At 52.7% G+C, this 21,526-nt stretch overlaps 1 protein-coding gene and 3 long non-coding RNA genes across 7 annotated transcripts in view, besides 3 other annotated features; 1 reads left to right on the top strand and 3 right to left on the bottom strand.

Annotated features, from left to right (window-relative positions):
- The window catches only part of ENG (endoglin), a 39,643-nt gene that overhangs the window by 17,070 nt on the left and 1,047 nt on the right, over positions 1-21,526 (top strand). For 3 of the 4 annotated variants that reach the window (NM_001114753.3, NM_000118.4, NM_001278138.2), the window contains exons 3-13: positions 7,762-7,902; positions 10,917-11,079; positions 11,729-11,894; positions 12,232-12,358; positions 12,615-12,789; positions 13,143-13,285; positions 17,552-17,689; positions 17,929-17,967; positions 18,757-18,873; positions 19,212-19,469; positions 20,386-20,440. In NM_001114753.3, the coding sequence (NP_001108225.1) occupies positions 7,762-7,902; positions 10,917-11,079; positions 11,729-11,894; positions 12,232-12,358; positions 12,615-12,789; positions 13,143-13,285; positions 17,552-17,689; positions 17,929-17,967; positions 18,757-18,873; positions 19,212-19,469; positions 20,386-20,440 (1,522 nt within the window). Of the gene's footprint in view, positions 1-7,761; positions 7,903-10,916; positions 11,080-11,728; positions 11,895-12,231; positions 12,359-12,614; positions 12,790-13,142; positions 13,483-17,551; positions 17,690-17,928; positions 17,968-18,756; positions 18,874-19,211; positions 19,470-20,385; positions 20,441-21,526 lie in introns of those variants that run through there. The other variant, NM_001406715.1, reaches the window with a different exon arrangement.
- Positions 734-1,704: an enhancer, noted in NCBI's record as "H3K4me1 hESC enhancer chr9:130598164-130599134 (GRCh37/hg19 assembly coordinates)". NCBI's record gives its function as "activates a minimal SCP1, AML or CMV promoter by ChIP-STARR-seq in primed H9 embryonic stem cells {active_cell/tissue: H9 hESC(primed)}" and the evidence as "EXISTENCE:reporter gene assay evidence [ECO:0000049][PMID:30033119]".
- Positions 1,705-2,676: an enhancer, noted in NCBI's record as "H3K4me1 hESC enhancer chr9:130597192-130598163 (GRCh37/hg19 assembly coordinates)". NCBI's record gives its function as "activates a minimal SCP1, AML or CMV promoter by ChIP-STARR-seq in naive H9 embryonic stem cells {active_cell/tissue: H9 hESC(naive)}" and the evidence as "EXISTENCE:reporter gene assay evidence [ECO:0000049][PMID:30033119]".
- Positions 2,582-4,606, bottom strand: LOC124902278 (uncharacterized). The gene is made up of 2 exons (XR_007061799.1): positions 4,375-4,606; positions 2,582-3,633 (listed from the first exon to the last, which is right to left on the bottom strand). It is a non-coding gene; the product is annotated as an uncharacterized LOC124902278 (long non-coding RNA).
- LOC105379841 (uncharacterized) lies at positions 4,809-6,326 on the bottom strand. The gene is made up of 3 exons (XR_001746951.2): positions 6,286-6,326; positions 5,108-5,191; positions 4,809-4,949 (listed from the first exon to the last, which is right to left on the bottom strand). It is a non-coding gene; the product is annotated as an uncharacterized LOC105379841 (long non-coding RNA).
- Positions 11,037-11,637: an enhancer, noted in NCBI's record as "H3K4me1 hESC enhancer chr9:130588231-130588831 (GRCh37/hg19 assembly coordinates)". NCBI's record gives its function as "activates a minimal SCP1, AML or CMV promoter by ChIP-STARR-seq in naive H9 embryonic stem cells {active_cell/tissue: H9 hESC(naive)}" and the evidence as "EXISTENCE:reporter gene assay evidence [ECO:0000049][PMID:30033119]".
- LOC102723566 (uncharacterized) lies at positions 15,069-21,523 on the bottom strand. The gene is made up of 6 exons (NR_136302.1): positions 20,246-21,523; positions 19,732-19,830; positions 19,200-19,278; positions 18,878-18,989; positions 16,091-16,394; positions 15,069-15,251 (listed from the first exon to the last, which is right to left on the bottom strand). It is a non-coding gene; the product is annotated as an uncharacterized LOC102723566 (long non-coding RNA).

Below are 21,526 nucleotides of genomic sequence, written 5' to 3'. Positions count from 1 at the left end.
GAGGACAGAGTTATGCCTTTTCTGTCCTTTGAGAACACAGAAGCCCCAGGCTGGGCCCAGTGCCAGCCTCTCAGACAGGCAAATGAGTTGGAGAGGTGAGGACACGTGGGCTGACCACCAGAAAGGCTGGAGGTACCAGGGGCCCCCTCAGCTGAGGAAGAAGCATATCTCTCCAGGGCATTCTGAAAACCCACTCTGTGGCCATCTGGCTGGAGACCAGGACTCCTAGATGTAAAATGCTGGGACCCCCAGAAGGCAGCCTGGGATCTAGGGGCCACACAATTCTAGAACATCACTGAGCTCAACTCCTCCCTGCACAGATGGGGAGGCTGAGGCTCAGAGATAGGATGCCACAGCGAGGCATGGCTGAGAGATTTGTAGTTCTCACCAGCTGCAGCCCACCTCTAACTGGACCCATGCTTCCCAGCCCCTAAACTGTGGATGGCTCTCCTTGGATGACTGTGTGCAAGGGGAGAATCAGAGGGATTAAAAAGCCAACCAGGCCAGGCGTGGTGTCTCACGCCTGTAATCTCAGCACTTTGGGAGGCCGAAGTGGGTGGATCATTTGGGTCAGGAGTTCGAGACCAGCCTGGCCGACATGGGCGAAACCCCGTCTCTACTAAAAATACAAAAATTAGCTGAGCATGGTGGTGGGTGCCTGTAGTCCCAGCTACTCAGGAGGCTGAACCAGCAGAATTACTTGAACCCAGGAGGCGGAGATTGCAGTGAGCCGAGATCGTGCCACTGTACTCCAGCCTGAGTGACAGAGCAAGACTGTGTCTCAAAAAAAAAGCCAAACTACTCCCACATGTTTAGCTGGGCACTGGACAACCTACTTTGCAGGCAGAATTGCACTGAAACCTCATAAGTCAATGAAGTGGGAATACCATTTTCCAAATCAGGAAACTGAGGCCCAGAGAGGCATAGTGACTGTCCAAGGTCACAGGCTAATGACTGAGCCCCCATCTGAATTCAGGTTGGTCTGGCTTTGATCCTTTCCCCTGCCACCCTGCCTGTAGGACCATCTGAGTTTTCTGGGGTGGACAGAGGGACGGCTGGCTCCAATCTGACCGCCTCCAGTCAGGCCCTGGGAGGGTGGGGGCTGCAGGCAGCCCTGAGGCTCCACTCCTAGAAGAATTGCTGGAAGCGACTTTCTATAAGTGGCTACTAGCACTCAGGGCCTCCTCACCGAAATCCCCCCTTCCTGCCACCAACTGCTGGGCAACAATGGCATCTGTGGGACATTGGTACAAAAATAGAAACGCGGTCTCCCGCCCACCCACTCAGGGAGGGGGCTGGGTAGGCGCAGGCTGGCCGGGCTGGGGGTGAGGGGCTGGCCAGACTGCGGAATTCCCAGGGTCCCATGAGGAAGGCTGGGAGCTTGGGGTTGGGGGCAAGGCTGGCGCCATCGTTTTTTGCCTCTGGGGCCCCCGGCCGGGAGAGAAGGGGGAAGTCGGTGTGCGTGTGAGTGGCCGTGGCGGTGAGTCAGGGCCGTGGGGAGGGAAATGTTTGCTGTAGAAACCCTGACTGGGTTTTTCTGGTAACCAGCTGTTTTTCAGCTTGGCCCTGCAGCTCAGAGAACCTGAGCACCCAGCTTTCCAGCCCCCCTGAGTTTCCCAACTACTCACTTGCCCCCACCTCCTACCTGCCCTCAAGCCTGCAGGGAAGGACTTGGTGACAACTGAGTGGTAGCTTTGGTTCGTGAGCTCTGGGATGAGAGCTGAGTGTCCCAAGAAACATTCCGAAGTTCCAGCCTCCTCGTCACCCCTCACAGACAGCATGACCAGGCTGTGACCTGCACTTCCCTTTTTTTTCACTTCCTTTATCCATAGCCCAACCTGGTACTGGTTCCCAACCCTGTCCTACCCCCATTTCACAGATGAGGAAACTGAGGCATAGAGGAACAGGGACAGTGGCGGAGCAGCAGTAGGACTGGATGGCCATGGGGCTCCTTCATCCCCACTCAGGGCTTGGCCACCAGACTGCACTCTGGCTTCTGCAGCATGCTTGGCCTGTGGGTGTCACCATGGGATGGCGGATGGATGTCCTCATGCACCACAGGCTGTGCTGTGTCCTGGCCATGATCTGACTATCCAGAGGGCCCATCTCTTCATCGTGTGGGCCTTGCAATTCTTTCCTCCAGGTTGGGACAAGCAGATGGGGCCGCACAGCAATGGACTGTAGGGCAATCTGGGAGAGAGGTGCAGTTGAGAGGGAGGACATGGTCCAGGGAATGCAGGCCCCGCTCTGGCACCACGCCCAGCCTAGAAAGCGTAATATTTTTAAAAACTGCCAGGCATGGTGGCTCACGCCTGTAATCCCAGCACTTTGGGAGGCCGAGGTGGGTGGATTGTTTGAGTCTAGGAGTTCAACACCAGCCTGGGCAACATAGTGAAACCCCATCTCTACAAAAAATATAAAAATTAGCCAGGCATACTGGTGTATGCCTGTAGTCCCAGCTACTTGGGAGGCTAAGGCGGGAGGATCACTTGAGCCTGAGGGGCGGAAGTTGCAGTGAGCAATCACGCCACTGTACTCCAGCCTGGGCAACAGAGGGAGACCCTGTCTTAAAAGAAAAAAATTATATATATATATATTTTATTCAAAACTGATGAAACAATATATTTTGAAAACCAAAAGTTATAAACCCACTAGAAAACATTAATCAAAACATGAACTTATACAAACATAAATTTGAAACATATCTTATCCCATAAATTAGCATAAAATAATTATTTAAAAATAACCAACCTAACTGGGCGCAGTGGCTCACACCTATAATCCCAGCACTTTGGGAGGCTGAGGCAGGCAGATCACAGGTCAAGAGATTAAGACCATTGTGGCCAAAAAGGTGAAACCCCATCTCCACTAAAAATACAAAAATTAGGCTGGGCGTGGTGGCACACGCTTATAATCCCAGCACTTTGGGAGGCTGAGGCGTAGGGATCATGAGGTCAGGAGTTCGAGACCAGCCTGGCCAAGATGGTGAAACCCCATCTCTACTAAAAATACAAAAACTAGCCAGGCGCAGTGGCAGGTGCCTGTAATCCCAGTTACTCAGGAGTCTGAGGCAGGAGAATTGCTTGAACCCAGGAGGTGGAGGTTGCGGTGAGCAGAGATCGCTGTACTTTAGCCTGGGCAACAGAGCAAGACTCCATCTCAAAAAAAGAAAAAATTACAAAAATTAGTTGGGCATGGTGGCGCACACCTGTAGTCCCAGCTGCTCGGGAGGCTGAGGCAGGAGAATCGCTTGAACCCGGGAGGTGGAGGTTGCGGTGAGCAGAGATCGCTGCACTCTAGCCTAGGCGACAGAGCAAGACTCCATCTCAAAAATATATATATACAAAAATTAGCTGGGCATGGTGGCGCACGCCTGTAGTCCCAGCTACTTGGGAGGCTGAGGCAGGACAATTGCTTGAACCCAGGAGGCGGAGGTGGCAGTGAGCCGAGATCATGCCATTGCACTCCAGCCTGGCAACAGGGCAAGACTCCATCTCAAAAAACAATAATAAATAGAAAAAAACTAAATGGCACACTAAAATGAAAAAAAAAATTGTGTTTACAACTAATTGATCACAACCAGTTACAGATTGCTTTGTTCCTTCTCCACACTCACTGCTTCACTTGAGGAGCCTAAAAAAAGGAAACAAAATATTTGTGACACATTGAAAATGAAATATTATTATTTGTTCTTTTTGTGTTTTAAAGAGGAAACTTAAAAGCAAAGAGTAATTATGGTATCATTATTGAGTAACAGAAATATTTCTGGGCAGATTTTTCCAGTGGCTGAAACACTGTCTCTGGCTTTGTGACGTCAGTTGGGGAAATGGCAAGATGATTAAAAGTTAAATCTCAAAACTTTCCACTGGTGTCTTCATCTTGAAATAGCCTTCCCCTTTTTCATAACTTTGAAAAGAGCTTTTGGATCATCTTTTAGACTGGCAGCTTTTGTATGAGAGCACTGGGAGTCTGTGTTTCAGCAAATTACATTTGTCTTTGTCCTCCTGAGTTGGTGGCAGGGCTTCTGAGGCATTTACCTGTCTTTTTTTTTTTTTTTTTTTTTTTTGAGGCGGAGTTTCACTCTTGCTGCCCAGGCTAGAGCTCAATGGCGCGATCTTGGCTCACCACAACCTCCGCCTCCTGGGGTTCAAGCGATTCTCCTGCCTCAGCCTCCCGAGTAGCTGGGATTACAGGCATGCGCCACCACACCTGGCTAATTTAGTATTTTTAGTAGAGACGGGGTTTCTCCACGTTGGTCAGGTTGGTCTTGAACTCCCAACCTCAGGTGATCGGCTCACCTCAGCCTCCCAAAGTGCTGGGATTACAGGCGTAAGCCACCACGCCTGGTCTACCTGTCTTAGTCTCAGCACTCACCTGTTCACATGCCACTAGTTCAGAAAGTCTTTGAGGTCATTCTTTCAATAGACACTGGCTTGTAGATTGCTGTGTTCTTTTTCTTCTTGGGAATAAGGTTAGAAAAATGTGCTAGGGAAGGATGTGCTACACAAAAATGTGTGGAAAAATGTGAGAGCGGCCGGGTGCAGTGGCTCACGCCTATAATCCTAGCACTTTGGGAGGCCAAGGCGGGTGGATCACCTGAGGTCAGGAGTTTGAGCCCATCCTGGCCAACATGGCGAAACCCCATCTTTACTAAAAATACAAAAATTAGCTGGGCATGGTGGCATGCACCTGTAGTCCCAGCTACTTGGGAGGCTAAGGCAGGAGAATCACTTGAACCCAGGAGGTGGAGGTTGCAGTGAGCCGAGATCGCGCCATTGCATTCCAGCCTGGCAACAGAGCAAGACTCCATCTCAAAAAATAATAATAAATAGAAAAAAACTAAATGGCACACTAAAATGAAAAAAACAATTGTGTTTACAAGTAATTGATCACAACTAGTTACAGATTGCTTTGTTCCTTCTCCACTCTCATTGCTTCACTTGACGAGCCTAAAAAAAAGAAACAGTGAGCTAGGATCGCACCATTGGGGTTTCACCATGTTGATGAGGCTGGTCTCGCACTCCAGCCTGGGCAGGAAGAGTGAAACTCCATCTCAGAAAAAAAAAAAAAGTGAAAAGAAAAGAAAAATGTGAGAGCACAGGCCTACCTGGGCACGAATCCCAGCCCCTGGCTGACTTCCTGTGTCATCAAAGGCAAATGACTTCACCTCTCAGGGTCTTGGTTCCCTCATCTGTAAGTGAAAATAAGAATAGTGGCCGGGTGCAGTGGCTCATGCCTGTAATTCCAGCACTTTGGGAGGCCGAGGCGGGCAGATCATTTGAGGTCAAGAGTTTGAGACCAGTCTGGCCAACATGCTGAAACCCCATCTCTACTAAAAATACAAAAATTAGCCAGGCATGGTGGCAATCGCCTGTAGTCCCAGCTACTCAGGATGCTGAGGCAGGAGAATTGCTTGACCCAGGAGGCAGAGGTTGCAGTGAGCCGAGGTTGTGCCACTGCAATCCAGCCTGGGCAACAGAGCAAGACTCTGTCTCAAAAAAAAAAAAAAAAAAAAAAAAGAATGGTAGCTCATGTCTGTAATTCCAGCACTTTGGGAAGCCGAGGTGGGAGGATTGCTTGAGCCTAGGAGGTTGAGGCTGCAGTGAGCCATGATTGCACCACTGCACTCTAGCCTGGAAAAGAGAGTAAGACCCTGTCTCAAAAAACAAACAAAGAAAAGCCAGCCTGGCCAACATAGTGAAACCCCATCTCTATTAAAAATATAAAAAATTAATCTGGTGTGGTGGCACACGCCTGTAGTCCTAGCTACTCAGGAGGCTGAGGCAGGAGAATTGCTTGAACCCAGGAGGCAGAGGTTGTAGTGAGCTGAGATTGTGCCACTGGGTTCCAGCCTGGGTGACAGAGCAAGACCCTGTCTCAAAAGAAAGAAAAAAAAAAAAAAAAGGCCAGGCAGGGTGGTTCACACCTGTAATCCCAGCACTTTGGGAGGCCGAGGCAGGTGGATCACAAGGTCAGAGTTCGAGACCAGCCTGACCAACATGGTGAAACCCCGTCTCTACTAAAAATACAAAACTTAGCCAGGCATGGTAGTGGGCGCCTATAGTCCCAGCTACTCGGGAGGCTGAGGCAGGAGAATGAATTGAACCTGGTACGCGAAGGTTGCAGTGAGCCAAGATCGCCCCATTGCACTCCAGCTTGGGCGACAGAGCGAGACTCCGCCTCAAAGAAAAAAAAAGAAAAAAAAAAAAAGCCAACCTGGCCAACATGGTGAAACTCCATCTCTAGTAAAAATACAAAAAATTAGCCATGCGTCGTGGTGGGCACCTGCAGTTCCAGCTACTCGGGAGGCTGAGGCAGGAGAATTGCTTGAACCTGGGAGGCAGAGGTTGCAGTGAGCCGAGATCACATCACTGCACTCCAGTCTGGACAACAGAGGGAGACTCTGTCTCTAAAAAAAAAAAAAAAAAATGGTATTTACGTCTTAAGGTTGTTGAAAGGATTAAATGAGTTAATGTGTAAAGCACTTAGAACACTGCTGGGATTTAATAGGCCCTATTTACGTGGTAGGTAGGTATTGCTGTTGTTATAAAAACATTCTAAATGTATACATCATTGAACAATTAAAAATTTTAATGCAGTGGGTACGTCTCAAGACATAAATGATTTCAACTTCACATTCTTATATCAAAATAATGGCATTATACCAAAACAACCCCCCAGGATTTTAGTACTTTAAAACGGTAAGACAAGCAGGAATATTGCAAACTGGGAGAGCAATTGTGACTGTCTCATGTGGGCTGGAAGCAGAGCTGTCACTCAGGGACTGCAGGAAAGGTGGTGGGGACGATGGGGCAGGGGATCGCTGCCTCCATGCACAGGACACTCCCTAAGGCCCAGTACACAACAGGTTCTCATTTGATCCTTGATGGATGAAGTTCAGGCTCATCCCTTTTTTTTGTTTGTTTTTTGTTTTTTTTTTTGAGACGGAGCGTCATTCTTGTTGCCCAGGCTGGAGTGCAATAGCGCAATCTCAGCTCACTGCAACCTCTACCTCCTGGGTTCAAGAGATTCTCCTGCCTCAGCCTCCCAAGTAGTTGGAATTACAGGCATCCACCACCACCCCACCTGGCTAATTTTTTGTATTTTTAGTAAAGACGGGGTTTCACCATGTTGGACAGACTAGTCTCGAACTCCTGACCTCAGGTGATCCACCTGCCTCAGCCTCCCAGAGTGCTGGGATTACAGGTGTGAACCACCATGCCCGGCCTTTTTTTTTTTTTTTTTTTTAGATGGAGTCTCACTCTGTTGCCCAGGCTAGAATGCAGTGGTGCCATCTCAGCTCAATGCCACCTCTGCCCCCAGGGTTCAAGCAATTCTTGTGTCTCAGCCTCCCCAGTGGCTGAGATTATAGGCACCCACCACCACGCCTGGCTAATTTTTGTATTTTTAGTACAGATGGGGTTTCACCATGTTGGTCAGGCTGGTCTCCAACTCCTGACCTCAGGTGATCCGCCCACCTCAGCCTCCCAAAGTATTGGGATTACAGACGTGAGCCACCGTGCCCAGCCTAATTTTTTTTCTCTCTTCAGATTTGCCGGGCTTACCTCCTTCATTTGTTTATTGTGAATTCCCTGAGGATGGCCAGAGGGACAGGCACTACCCTGGGCACTGGGAGGTGAGGGTGGACAGAGCAGGCAGGGAGAGTGGAGTGGAAGCATCCAAATCATCACTGCCTGTCTGGGTGGCACAACCTATACAAATCTGACTGGACTGTGTGTGTCTCTCCTCTGTGTCCCCCAGGGCCCGTCACAGCTGGAGCTGACTCTCCAGGCATCCAAGCAAAATGGCACCTGGCCCCGAGAGGTGCTTCTGGTCCTCAGTGTAAACAGCAGTGTCTTCCTGCATCTCCAGGCCCTGGGAATCCCACTGCACTTGGCCTACGTGAGTGTGTTCCCTCCAACCCCAGGCTGAGGCTCTGGCCATGGGAGGTCCCTACTGTCCATCTCTGTGGGTCAGGGTCTCCCACCCCAGCGGCCCAGCCCTGCTTCTCCCTTTCATCTTGACATTATTCACCAGGGTCCTGCCTGGTGAAGCCAATGGTCTCTACCAGAGAGAACCCAGAGGGCACCAGGACTACAGTAAAGAGTCTAGACCAAGAGGTGGGAGTCAGGTTGATGTGCAGCCCTGGCCAACTCTGATCCTCTGCATAGGCTCAGTTTGCCTCTCTGTCCAGTGGGACAACTGAACTCAATATTTTATATGATAATCTTTTCATTGTCTTTGAAAAAGTTACACGACATATATTTGAAAATATTTAAAGACAGAGGAAAAGGGCCAGGAGAAAACCTAACGTGTTAACAGTGGTTATGGCTGGGAAGTGGGATTAGGAGAGACATTTAGTTGGTTCTTCACACTTTGTTGAGTTTGCAAGAGTTGCTCTAAATGGATTTGGCCTATTTTGGAGAAAAAAGTATTTTTAAAAAACTCAAGTTTTCAGGTCAGCTGTGGATTTGGGAAAAACAATTAAAAACAAACAACCAAAAGCCTCAACTTTTAAAAGTGTTAGCTATATCCACCAGAGAGAGGAGGTCAGGGAGCTGGGACCCACTGCCAGAGGTCAGGGCTGGAGGAGGCAGGGTGGCTTGCCAGCACTGCCTCCTCCATGAGGAATGTCTGGGAGGTGGCCCCCAGATGTGAGCAGCTGTTGTTTACAACAGAGAAAGCAGAGGGTAGGAAGGGGAGAGCCCGGGGGAGAGCAAAGATAGCAAAGGGGAGAGAGGCATAGAAAGAAACATGCCCACTGCGGGAGGGAGGCAGGCTTGAGCGAAGTTGGGCGTGGGGGACAGGGGAGAAGCTTCCGGACTGGTGACAGGGACAGCACAGAGACAGTCAGACATGACCAAGCCAGCATGCCAAAGTCCTAGGAGGGAGGGGGCCAAATCCAACCACCAGGGCCAAGAGGATTTGACTCCTTGCAGCCCATCCCTCGGCCGCCCAGAAGGGGAATCGAGGTCCCAGAGGGGGCGTGGCCTTTACCATGGATCCTCCCCCTTCCCGATCTGAGTCCGTGCAGCCCAGGGTGAGGCAGGAACATGAAACGCGCCCGCCAGCCGGAAGGTCGCAGTAGCCGCCGGCTCTGGCCTCGGCCGCGCCGCCTTCCTCCTGGGGCCGCGCTGCTTCCCGAGCGGGCTCCCTGGGGCCGGTGGCCAGAGGGGACAAAGAGGCCAAGGCGCGGCCTCGGTGGCCGACCCAGTGCCAGGCGACCAACAGACGTCGTGCCCTGCTGTATCCCCATTTTACAGGGGCTGACTCAAGGATCAGATCCCTTTCCCAACCCAGCTGTAAAGCCAGTGTCCCAGCCCTTTCCCATTCCGCGGGCTGGGTTCCTCACCCAAGATGCCCATCACTTTGCCCCCTTGTTGAATCCCTACAGAGAAGGTATCTACTTCCTTCTAGATGGGCCATTCTAGGGTGTCTTGTCTACTGTTGCCATCTGGCAGTCCTCAATATCTAGCTTGGGCCAGGCGACCTGGCTTATGTCTGTAATCCCAACACTTTGGTAAGCCGAGGCAGGAGGGTCTCCTTTTTTTTTTTTTTTTTTTTTTTTTGAGATGGAGTTTCACTCTTGTTGCCCAGGCTGGAGTGCAATGGCCCCATCTCGCCTCACTGCAACCTTCGCCTTCTGGGTTCAAGTAATTCTCCTGCCTCAGCCTCCCGAGTAGCTGGGATTACAGGCACCTGCCACCACCCCCACCTCATTTTTTGTATTTTTAGTAGAGACAGTGTTTCATACCGTGTTGGCTAGGCTGGTCTCGAACTCCTGACCTCAGGGGATCCACCCGCCTCGGCCTCCCAAAGTGCTGGTTTACAGGCGTGAGCCACTGTGCCTGGCCAGGAGGGTCTCTTGAGGCCAGGAGTTGGAGACCAGCCTGGGCAACATAGTGAGACCCTCGTCTCTAAAAAATTATAATAAAAAATATTTTTAAATCCAACCCGAAGCCCTTTTGCCCTTCTGCTGCTGCTGTTTCATTCAGCTCAATGCCCTTGGCTTTGGAGACTGTACACTAAGAGCTCAGTCAGTGGCCCCAACAGCTTCCTCTGAATCCTTCAGCTTTCCAGAGTCACTCTTCCAGGAAGTCTTCCCTGTCTGCTTTCCTCCTCACCCCCAACCCCCATTTCTTCTGAGGCAATGGCAGGGTAGGCAGTGAGATGCTGAAGCCACCCAGACTCCCCATCCCTGTCCAACCAGGAGATCTGTCTGGCTCCTTTGTTTCTTATTAAATAAAATTCTGTCTTCTATTGTTTCAAATGACTTGATGCATGTCTAGTTTCTGAATGGTAATATCCCCTAGGGCAGGGACCACTGATATCTGTCTTTAATTCATTAATTCATTCATCCATCCCTTTCTTCTTTCTTCCCTTTCTCCCTGTCTTCCCATAGGCGGGGAGCACCCATCACATGCTGGGTGTCAGGGTGACGCTGGCATGTCAGGATCCTGTGATGGGCCCAGGGCCCAGCACAAAGTCAGACAAATCTCTCTCAGTGCGTACTACGTGTCAAGCACTGTGCAAGGATGGGCAAGGTAGACGTTGCCCCCTGTAGACCCTCACAGTGTAGGGAGATCCAGAGCCTCAGGGTATAGGGAGAGACAGCCGCAGGATGGCGTAGATGTGGGTTGAATGAGAACAGCTCTGGAGGGGTGGGTGATGTTTGGACAGGTGGATGAACAAGGTGGTGTGTTCATCTGGCCCCCCAGGTATGCAAGGGAGAAGGGGCTGATCTGACTGCTAGGGGGCTCCGGGCTGACTGCAGATCCACCAGCCAGCATTCTCAGCTCCGGCCTCTTTCTCTCAGCCAATGGGCTGACTCCACAAATTACTTCCTGACCTCCTACATGGGATAGAGAGGGCACAGGGCCAGGAACAGCGTGCTGAGCCTCCACATGTCTCCCCAGAATTCCAGCCTGGTCACCTTCCAAGAGCCCCCGGGGGTCAACACCACAGAGCTGCCATCCTTCCCCAAGACCCAGATCCTTGAGTGGGCAGCTGAGAGGGGCCCCATCACCTCTGCTGCTGAGCTGAATGACCCCCAGAGCATCCTCCTCCGACTGGGCCAAGGTCAGTTTCCCCAGCAACCTCTCTGGGCTCATGATACTGCTCAGGAGGAATCTGAGCTCCTCTGGCCCACACCTCAAACTTGGGCACCAAGAGTGCAGGAGGGGACACGCTGTGCCACAGTTCACATGCCACAAGCCAGTGCTGCCTTGGGACAGTGATGGCTCCTCCACCAAATATCAGATTGAAGCATGTGGAATATGCCAGGTTCTGACCTAAAACCCCAGCATTTTCATACGATCTATTGTGCATCTACTATGTGCCAAAGCCCTATCATGCTAGGCACTTGGGGACACACTCAGGCCCTGCCTTCCTGGAGCTGATACTGTGATGAGGGAGGTGACAATAAACATGTACATGTACACAGATAAATCTATAATTTCGGGTCTTGCTGGGTGGTTTCGGGGCTGCAGCCTAACATGTGTCATGGGCTCATCCCTTATGTTAACACACGGAGGCCCGGGGACTTGCACAGGGTCACTTGGCAGGTGAGTGGTGGAAGGGAAGTTCGAACCTAGGTCCTCTGACGCCTCTCCCCCTCTGCAGCACCGTCCTGCCTGCCCCACCACTATCTTTGGCTGTGGGTGAGGGCGGGGCTCTGTTAGGTGCAGGGCTGCTGAGGGAAGGGACTGAGGTGCGCGTGTCTCTGCAGCCCAGGGGTCACTGTCCTTCTGCATGCTGGAAGCCAGCCAGGACATGGGCCGCACGCTCGAGTGGCGGCCGCGTACTCCAGCCTTGGTCCGGGGCTGCCACTTGGAAGGCGTGGCCGGCCACAAGGAGGCGCACATCCTGAGGGTCCTGCCGGGCCACTCGGCCGGGTATGGCTCTCGCCCCGCCCCTGACACTAGTCCCCACCCCGAGAGACCACCCCCCTGACCCCCCCCGCCCCCTCTCCGGTCCCTTATAAAGCCCCACCCCAGTCCCAGCCCCAGCCCCGCCGCAGCCCTGTGAGAGCACAGTCGCTTTCTCCTACTCTAGGCTACGCCCCCTATGGGCCCCTTCCCTTTGGGCACAAGCCTGGCCCCAGTCCCATCCCTATCCCATAAACCCACACCTGGCCAGGTAAGAGTGCAGCCGCCGCCCACCCGACGCCAGGCCTCGCTCCCCGCCTGGCCTGTCCGCTTCAGTGTTCCATCCGCGTCTGTCTCCCCGCAGGCCCCGGACGGTGACGGTGAAGGTGGAACTGAGCTGCGCACCCGGGGATCTCGATGCCGTCCTCATCCTGCAGGGTCCCCCCTACGTGTCCTGGCTCATCGACGCCAACCACAACATGCAGATCTGGGTGAGTTGTGCGCAGCTCCCGGGACACAAAACCCAAACTCCCAACCTCTGGATCAGGGAAGTTTCCTGGAAAGGTGAACCCCCGAGCTGAGCTGAAGGACAAATCACCTATGCCCATACGTGAGGGAAGGGGCCAGGCAGAAGACGCAGCAGGAGTGGGGACACAGCAGGACCGAGGCCTGGCATAACCCTGGCTGGCCTGCTGTGGCACAGACTGTGTCCATGGCCCCCTGTTCTGCCTCTCTCCCCACCATTAGACCACTGGAGAATACTCCTTCAAGATCTTTCCAGAGAAAAACATTCGTGGCTTCAAGCTCCCAGACACACCTCAAGGCCTCCTGGGGGAGGCCCGGATGCTCAATGCCAGCATTGTGGCATCCTTCGTGGAGCTACCGCTGGCCAGCATTGTCTCACTTCATGCCTCCAGCTGCGGTGAGCACCCTTCCCCTGCCCCTCCCTTCCCTTCCCCTCCCTTGGATCAGTGGCCACACTGTTGGTGAAGCACCTCTGTGTGAGCTTGGGCAAGGTACATCAGCCTCTCTGAGCCTCATTTTTCTCATCTGCACATGGGAACAATGGGAGTAGCTAATCATAGAAGAGCCTGAGAATCGCTTGAACCTGGGAGATGGAGGTTGCAGTGAGCCAAGATCGTGCCACTGCACTCCAGCCCGGGTAACAGAGCAAAACTCCGTCTCAAAAAAAAAAAAAAAAAAAAAAAAGCCTGGTGCGGGCACACAGTGATCACACAGTGACCAGCCGCCTGGCCTGCCTCTGCTACCCCACAGGTGGTAGGCTGCAGACCTCACCCGCACCGATCCAGACCACTCCTCCCAAGGACACTTGTAGCCCGGAGCTGCTCATGTCCTTGATCCAGACAAAGTGTGCCGACGACGCCATGACCCTGGTACTAAAGAAAGAGCTTGTTGCGGTAAGGGAACTCCTGCCCCTCTGGCTCAGGATGACATGGACATCTGGTTCCTCCCCTAGCCCAAGACTCTTGGGGTCCTAGCCCAGGCAGGGGGGCAAGTCACGTCCCTCTGCAAGCCTTAGTTTTCCCACTTGTATAATGGAATTGATAATGGTACCTACCACGTGGTGAGAATTAAAGGCAGTCTGACAGGCCAATCACGTGGCACAGTAAGATGTGGTACATAGTAAGTGCTTAGTAAATAATGCCAGCACTAGGTAGTTGTCATTATTAATCCTAAATGCTCCCTGAGCTGGCTGGTCACTTAGCAGAATACCTACACAGGCCAGGCATGGTGGTTCACGCCTGTAATCTCAGCACTTTGGGAGGCCAAGATGGGTGGATCACTTGAGGTCAGGAGTTTGAGACCAGCCTGGCCAACATGGTGAAACCCTGTCTTTACTAAAATACAAAAATTAGCCAGAGGTGATGGGACACACCTGTAGTCCCAGCTACTTGGGAGGCTGAGGAACAAGAATCGCTTGAACCCAGGAGGCAGAGGCTGCAGTGAGCCGAGATCACACCACTAAACTTCAGCCTGGGCAACAGAGTGAGACTCTGTCTCAGAAAAAAAAAAAAAAAAAAAAAAAAGCCGGTGCCTGTAATCCCAGCACTTTGGGAGGCCGAGGCGGGTGGATCACAAGGTCAGGAGATCGAGACCATCCTGGCTAACACAGTGAAACCCTGTCCCTACTAAAAATACAAAAAATTAACCGGGTGTGGTGGCAGGCGCCTGTAGTCCCAGCTAATCGGGAGGCTGAGGCAGGAGAATGGTGTGAACCCGGGAGGCAGAGCTTGCAGTGAGCTGAGATCGCACCACTGTACTCCAGCTTGGGTGACAGAGAGAGACTCCATCTCAAAGAAAAAAAAAAAAGCCTATACAATATGATCACTGCCTGGTTGACAAACAAATATATTTGTTATAAAAATAACACATGGTGAATACAAAATATTAGCCAGGCATGGTGGTAGGCGCCTGTAGTCCCAGCTACTTGGGAGGCTGAGGCAGGAGAATGGCCTGAACCCGGGAGGCGGAGCTTGCAGTGAGCCAAGATCATGCCACTGCACTCCAGCCTGGGCAACAGAGCAAGACTCGTCTCAAAATAAAATGAAAGAACACATGCTGGCCAGGCACAGTGGCTCACACCTGTAACCCTAGCACTTTGGAGGCCGAGGCAGGCAGATTGCCGGAGCTCAAGAGTTTGAGACCAGCCTGGGCAACACGGTGAAACCCTGTCTCTACTAAAATAGAAAAAATTAGCCGGACGTGGTGGTGCACGCCTGTAGTCCCAGCTACTCAGGAGGCTGAGGCAGGAGAATCGCTTGAACCCGGTAGAGGGAGATTGCAGTGAGCTGAGATTGTGCCACTGCACTCCAGCCTGGGCGACAGAGCGAGACTCCATTTCAAACAAACAAACAAAAAACATGCTTTAAAAAATATGTGAAAATTAGAAAATCTTAACCTTCTGACACAAAGACAATGGCTGCCAACATTTTGGTGTGCTTCTTTCTAGAGCGTTTTCTCTGTGTATTTCTTATATTGATGTAATCATAAGAGATGTGTTCATTTGTCTCTTACTATTTCACTTAATGTATTTTTAGAGCTTTGACAGCTGTACCTAATATCATGTTTAATAAGCACATATTATTCCATCATATTGACATGCTATAATTAACTCCTCTTCCCTTGTTACACATTTAGGTTGTTCCCAATTCTGTAGTATTATAAATATGCAAAAAATGTCATTGTGCATGAAACATTTCTTTATATAGGATTATTTTCTCAGGATAGATTTCCACATTAGTGGAATTACTGGGTCAAAATGAATGAAGTTTCAATACATGTTGCCAACCCACTTTCCCAAAGATGATTTGAATTTTCACCACTGATTTACGAGAACACCTCAACCTCTTCGCTGTCTCCAGACTATAATTCAAAAAAAGAGAAACCTTTGCCAGTGTGGGAAGAGGCACATGGCGTTCCATTCTTGTTTTAGTTGTAATTCTCTGGTTAGTAGTGAGTGTGGGCATGGTTCCACGTGAGTGATGAGAACCTCAGTCTCCTTATCATTGAGGCTTGGTATTTTTCTTGATGATTTTTATAAGTTTTAATAAAGAAAAAAAGGTTGCCCCTTTGGCCACCACTTCCCTTGATTTGCTGTAATTCTTTCAATTTTGGCTACAGTGGTTTTTCTTTTCTTTTCTTTTTTTTTCTTTGAGACAGTCTTGCTCTGTCACCCAGGCTGGAGTTCAGTGGTACAATCTCGGCTCACTGCAACCTCCACCTCCCGGGTTCAAGTGATTCTCCTGCCTCAGCCTCCTGAGTAGTTGGGAATACAGGCGTGCACCACCACGCCTGGCTTTTTTTTTTTTTTTTTTTTTTTAAGACAGTCTCACACTATTGCCCGGGCTGGAGTACAATGGCACAATCTCGGCTCACTGAAACCTCTGCCTCCCGGGTTCAAGCAATTCTCCTGCCTCAGCCTCCCGAGTAGCTGGGATTACAGGTGCCCACCACCACTCTTGGCTTATTTTTTGTATTTTTTTTTTTAGCAGAGACGGGGTTTCACTATGTTGGTCAGGCTGGTCTCGAACTCCTGACCTTGTGATCCGCCCACCTCGGCCTCCCAAAGTGCTGGGATTACAGGTGTGAAATCAGGCGCCTGGTCCGCAGCCTAGCTACTTTTTTGTATTTTTAGTAGAGACAGGGTTTCACCATATTGGCCAGGCTGGTCTCGAACTTCCGACCTCAGGTCATCTGCCTACCTCAGCCTCCCAAAGTGCGGGGATTACAGGCGTGAGCCACTGCAACTGGCCTTCTTTTTCTTGTTTTAGAGACGAGGTCTCGCTCTGTCACCAAGGCTGGAGTGCAATGATGTGATCTCGGCTCACTGCAGCCTCCTCCTCTCAGGTTCAAGCGATTCTTGTGCCTCAGCCTTCCCAGTAGCTGGGACTATGGGTGTCTGCCACCACACCTGGCTAATTTTTATAATTTTAGTAGAGTCGGGTTTCACTATGTTGGCTAGGCAGGTCTCGAACTTCTGGCCTCCTGTGATCTGCCTGCCTCTGCCTACCAAAGTGCTGGGATTACAGGCGTGAGCCACCACGCCCAGCCTGTGCTAGACTTTTATATGACCGGCAGTGCAATAAGTTTGCTTACACCAGCATCACCACAAACACTAGGCAATAGAAATTTTTCAGCTTCGTTATAATTTTATGGGACCAGGGACCACCATCATATACACAGTCCATCACCGACCACAACATTGTCCCATGGTGCATGACAGTATTTACTATCTGGCTCTTTATAGGAACACTTCGCCCACGCCAGGCCTGAGACTGGATTATGCTTGCAGGGTTTGCATGCCCTTGGGGCTGTGAGTGATGATTATATGTGGAACTTGAAGGAATATATATATATATATTTTTTTTTTTTGAGACGGAGTCTCGCTCTGTTGCCCAGGCTGGAGTGCAATGGTGCGATCTCGGCTCACTGCAAACTCCGCCTCCCGGGCTCACGCCATTTTCCTGCCTCAGCCTCCCGAGTAGCTGGGACTACGGGAGCCCGCCACCACGCCCGGCTAATTTTTTTGTATTTTTAGTAGAGACGGGGTTTCATCATGTTAGCCAGGATGGTCTCGATCTCCTGACCTCATGATCCACCTGCCTCAGCCTCCCAAAGTGCTGGGATTACAGGCGTGAGCCACCGTACCCGGCCTGAAGGAATATTTTTAATAGTTCTGTATTTATTTTGATAGATATAAGAAAATTTGGCCAGGCGCGGTGGCTCACGCCTGTAATCCCTGCAATGGGAGGCCGAGGCAGGTGGATCACCTGAGGTCAGGAGTTTGAGACCAGCCTGGCCAACATGGTGAAACCCTATCTCTACTAAAAATACAAAAAAGTAGCCGGGCATGGTGGCACGTGCCTGTAATCCCAGCAACTCAGGAGGCCAAGGCAGGAGAATCGCTTGAACCCAGGAGGTGGAGGTTGTAGTGAGCCAAGATCGAGCCACTGCACCTGGGCAAAAAGAGTGAGACTCCATCTCAAAAAAAAGAACTTTTAAGTGGTGTAGGATGATGACATCTAACAAAAATGAAGAGGGAGCAGGGCAGGGGAATGGCTGTGACTTGGGACCCCTGGGTTGTGGTCAGTCCTTGGTGCTGGGGTGTGGCAGGCCACAGAGACCCCAGTGCCTCCTGATGGTGCCCCTCTCTTCCGACCCAGCATTTGAAGTGCACCATCACGGGCCTGACCTTCTGGGACCCCAGCTGTGAGGCAGAGGACAGGGGTGACAAGTTTGTCTTGCGCAGTGCTTACTCCAGCTGTGGCATGCAGGTGTCAGCAAGTATGATCAGCAATGAGGTAAGAGCTGGGGCCAAAAAGGTATCAGGACCAGCCTGGTTGGTGCCCCCTCAGGTGCCCTCCCTGATCCCCCAGGGTGGAGGTGTGTTTGGGAGAGCAGGCTGCAGGGGCTCAGAACACAAGACAAGCTTGGCCATTGGTTGGCTTAGTCTCCCCATCTGCAAAAATGGGCGTATTGGGTGGGATACCCTCTGGGGTCCTTTCTGGCTCTGACCAGCTCCCTGGCTTTATCCCCGCAGGCGGTGGTCAATATCCTGTCGAGCTCATCACCACAGCGGGTGAGATGGACAGTCACGTGCTAACCCACCTGGCCCAGGGGCTGCTGCTGGGCCGGGGCCTCTTCCTGGCCTGGGAGGGAGCAGGCCTCGGGAAACTCCTGGCAAGCCATGTGTGTCTGGAATGCCTCGGTCTCCCCTTCTGTATGACCGGAGCAGGACTGCTGAGGGTGACGCTCTTGGTCTCTCAAGTCAGAGGGCTTAGCACATACTGGCTGTGTGGCCTTGGGCAAGTCACTTTAGTTTTCTGGGCCCAAAGGTGGCCTAAGAAAGGACTCTGCGCCACAGGGTGCTTCTGGGCAGCCAATGAGGTGCTGTGTGGAAGCTCTTCACACAGCCTGGCAGCTGGTGCCTCCTTGATAAATATTAGTTTAAAAAAAAAAAAAAGGGCCGGGCGCAGTGGCTCACGCCTGTAATCGCAGCACTTTGGGAGGCCGAGGCGGGCAGATCACGAGGTGAAGAGATTGAGACCATCCTGGCTAACATGGTGAAACCCCGTATCTACTAAAAATACAAAAAATTAGCCGGGCGTGGTGGCGGGCACCTGTAATCCCAGCTACTTGGGAGGCTGAGGTAGGAGAATGGCATGAACCCGGGAGGCGGAGCTTGCAGTGAGCTGAGATCGCACCACTGCACTCCAGCCTGGGCGACAGAGCGAGACTCCGTCTCAAAAAAAAAAAAAAAGAGAGTCAGGCAACTCCACAGGGCCATGATGCCTGTTCCTCCCCACACCCCTCGCCCTCCTGGCTGGCGCCGCCAGATTGACCAAGTCTCCCTCCCGTCCTCCCCCAGAAAAAGGTGCACTGCCTCAACATGGACAGCCTCTCTTTCCAGCTGGGCCTCTACCTCAGCCCACACTTCCTCCAGGCCTCCAACACCATCGAGCCGGGGCAGCAGAGCTTTGTGCAGGTACCTGGCATGCCTGTCACCCCTCGGGCCTCCCAGCTCCTGGAACTTCCTCTCCGCCTTTCTTCCCACCATGACTCCAGAGGAGATGAGACTCCCAGAGTCAGGAGGGAGACAGCCTGGGTGCACGGGAGAGGGAGAGACAGAGAAGGCATTGCTCAGGGACACTGACAAGGATGTGGCCCTGTCCTCCTCCTCTGCCCCAGACAGGTCCATGTCTTTCTTTCCACTGTGAGGACTCAGGGGTGGGAACTCTTAATTCTAGCCGATATTTGAAGGCAGCAGGTGGGGTGGGGTGAAGAGCAGCTGCCCATGCCGCGTGGCCCTACCTACCCATGCAGGTCAGAGTGTCCCCATCCGTCTCCGAGTTCCTGCTCCAGTTAGACAGCTGCCACCTGGACTTGGGGCCTGAGGGAGGCACCGTGGAACTCATCCAGGGCCGGGCGGCCAAGGGCAACTGTGTGAGCCTGCTGTCCCCAAGCCCCGAGGGTGACCCGCGCTTCAGCTTCCTCCTCCACTTCTACACAGTACCCATACCCAAAACCGGCACCCTCAGCTGCACGGTAGCCCTGCGTCCCAAGACCGGGTCTCAAGACCAGGTGAGTGGGGCCTGGGCCGGCCCCAGCTTCAAGTGGGAGCTTCCAGGTCTGTGGTTTGCAGGAAGGGACATGGCAGCCCACAGGGATGTGGGGCCAGCTGGTGAGGGGCGGAGCCTTAATCAGGCATGTGGCCTGGCAGTCTGGCTGCCAGCAGCACTTTCTGCCACCCGAGAGCTTTCTGGTGGGACTGCTGTGTCTGGGGCACTGGCAGACTATGCAGCTGCCACTGTCCATCTATCCATCCATCCATCCTTTCACTTACCCGTCCGTCCATCCATCCATCCACCCTCCCACCCAGGAATCTAACCACCCGCACATCCATGTAGTATGGTCACCAGTGTAATCTCAAAGAACAGGAGACCTGAGGGAAGAGAGGCGGACAAAGGACACACACTCCTGGCTTTCTGTATTTGCCAGTCACAACACTTCACCATCTGGTGACCCCCACTCTCAGGCAATCTATCCTGGACGCCCCCAGAGTCACCCCCAGGCCCTTGCACAGACAGGCCTCCAGGATTACAAACTTCTCTGGTCATAGGAAGCTAGGGAAGCCTTCAACTCCCCTAAGTGGGCCTCTCCCTCCAGCCAGAGTGAGCCTGGGACTCTGGGCTGACCTGGCTCATAGCTCCAAAGTGTTCACAAGGGTGAGGGATGCATAGTGCTTCCACAGTGCTCCTGGGCATCAAGGCCTCCAGGAACTCACAGGAAACATTTCAGCAGCAGCCAGGGATCGTCCACTAGGCACCCTCCCACAGCACAGATCTTCCAGGACTCACCCAGAGGCATCCAGCTACGAAGCGGTGGAGATGGGATTCAAAGCCAAGGCTCTAGGGTGGGCTGGGGTCACGGAGCCAGGGAGTAAACCTGGAAGCCGCCTCCCAAAGGTGCCACATACTGCTCTCTCTTTCTCCTCCAGGAAGTCCATAGGACTGTCTTCATGCGCTTGAACATCATCAGCCCTGACCTGTCTGGTGAGCTCCCTCCAGGTCTCTCGGGTTTGTTCTAGTGGCTGAGGTCACAGTAGGGCACAGCGGGCAGCCCTGAGAAACGGCCTGGGCACATAGCACATGGCAAGGGGGACCCCAGAGAAAGCGGCCCAGAAGGGGCAGGAGGAGGGCTTCCCAGAGCCATAGCAGCCTAGAGCAGGGGCCAGAGCTGCACTTTGCAGATGGAGAGCCCTTGCCCGGGACCGCCCTGTGGGGTGGGAGTCTAGGCCTCTGCCCCCACTCACGGCTCCACTCCATCCCCACAGTTATTGGCTGACCTTGCTGGGAGGATGGAGTCTCCTGGGTGAGACAGAGGCCCTTTGAGGGTGGGTGCTGGCCTTGCCTTCCTTGAGGCCTCTCCCTGCAGGACGCCCCCTCTAGCCTCTCCATCAGTTCCCCCCAGGCCCAGGCCCACACCAGGCAGAAGAGTCCCGACACTGGTGGCAGAGGCAGGGGTGAGGGATGGGGGCACCTACCTCTTTGCCACCCCATCCAGGCCAGGATGGAGCCTCCACTCCCAGCCCAGGACCAAGAAGGCAGGGCTGATAACCCCATGACACAGAATCGGATGTCAGAGGCTCAAGGAAAGACTGCTTGGCCCATAGCCACACAGGAGTCAGGAATGTGGAGGGAATGAGGCTTGGAGCAATCCAAGAGCAGAGCTGCAGGGCACTCGGAGCTGCTCTGGCCCATTCTCTACCTGCTAAAGGCCTCAGAGAGGGGCAGGGTTGACCCAAGGTCATGCAGCAGGTGGGGCAGGCTCTGTACTCCCGAGCCTCAGTTTCCTCACGTTACCCCATCCATCCTCCCTGAAAACGCCATCTCCATCAGCCTTGAGGGGCAGAGGCATGACCCAAAAGGCCTGGCTGGGCCCTCTAGGTGGACAGTCCTAGCAACCATGGCTCAATGCCAGGCCTGGCTGTGATGAGCCCGTTTGCTGCAAGAGGAGACTGAGGTTCAGAGAAGTCGAGGGTCCATGGCTGAGCAGAGCTGGCACCAAAGCCCACATGGGCCAGCACAACAGGGTAGGGGATGGGGCAGGGGCAGAGTGGCAGTGCTGATGGCGTCGGC

The sequence above is a fragment of the Homo sapiens genome, chromosome 9 (assembly GCF_000001405.40).
Source record: "Homo sapiens chromosome 9, GRCh38.p14 Primary Assembly".
NCBI classification, from domain to species: Eukaryota; Metazoa; Chordata; class Mammalia; order Primates; family Hominidae; genus Homo; species Homo sapiens.
Note: the sequence above shows the minus strand (reverse complement) of the source record. Positions and strands in the feature narration are given on the sequence as shown.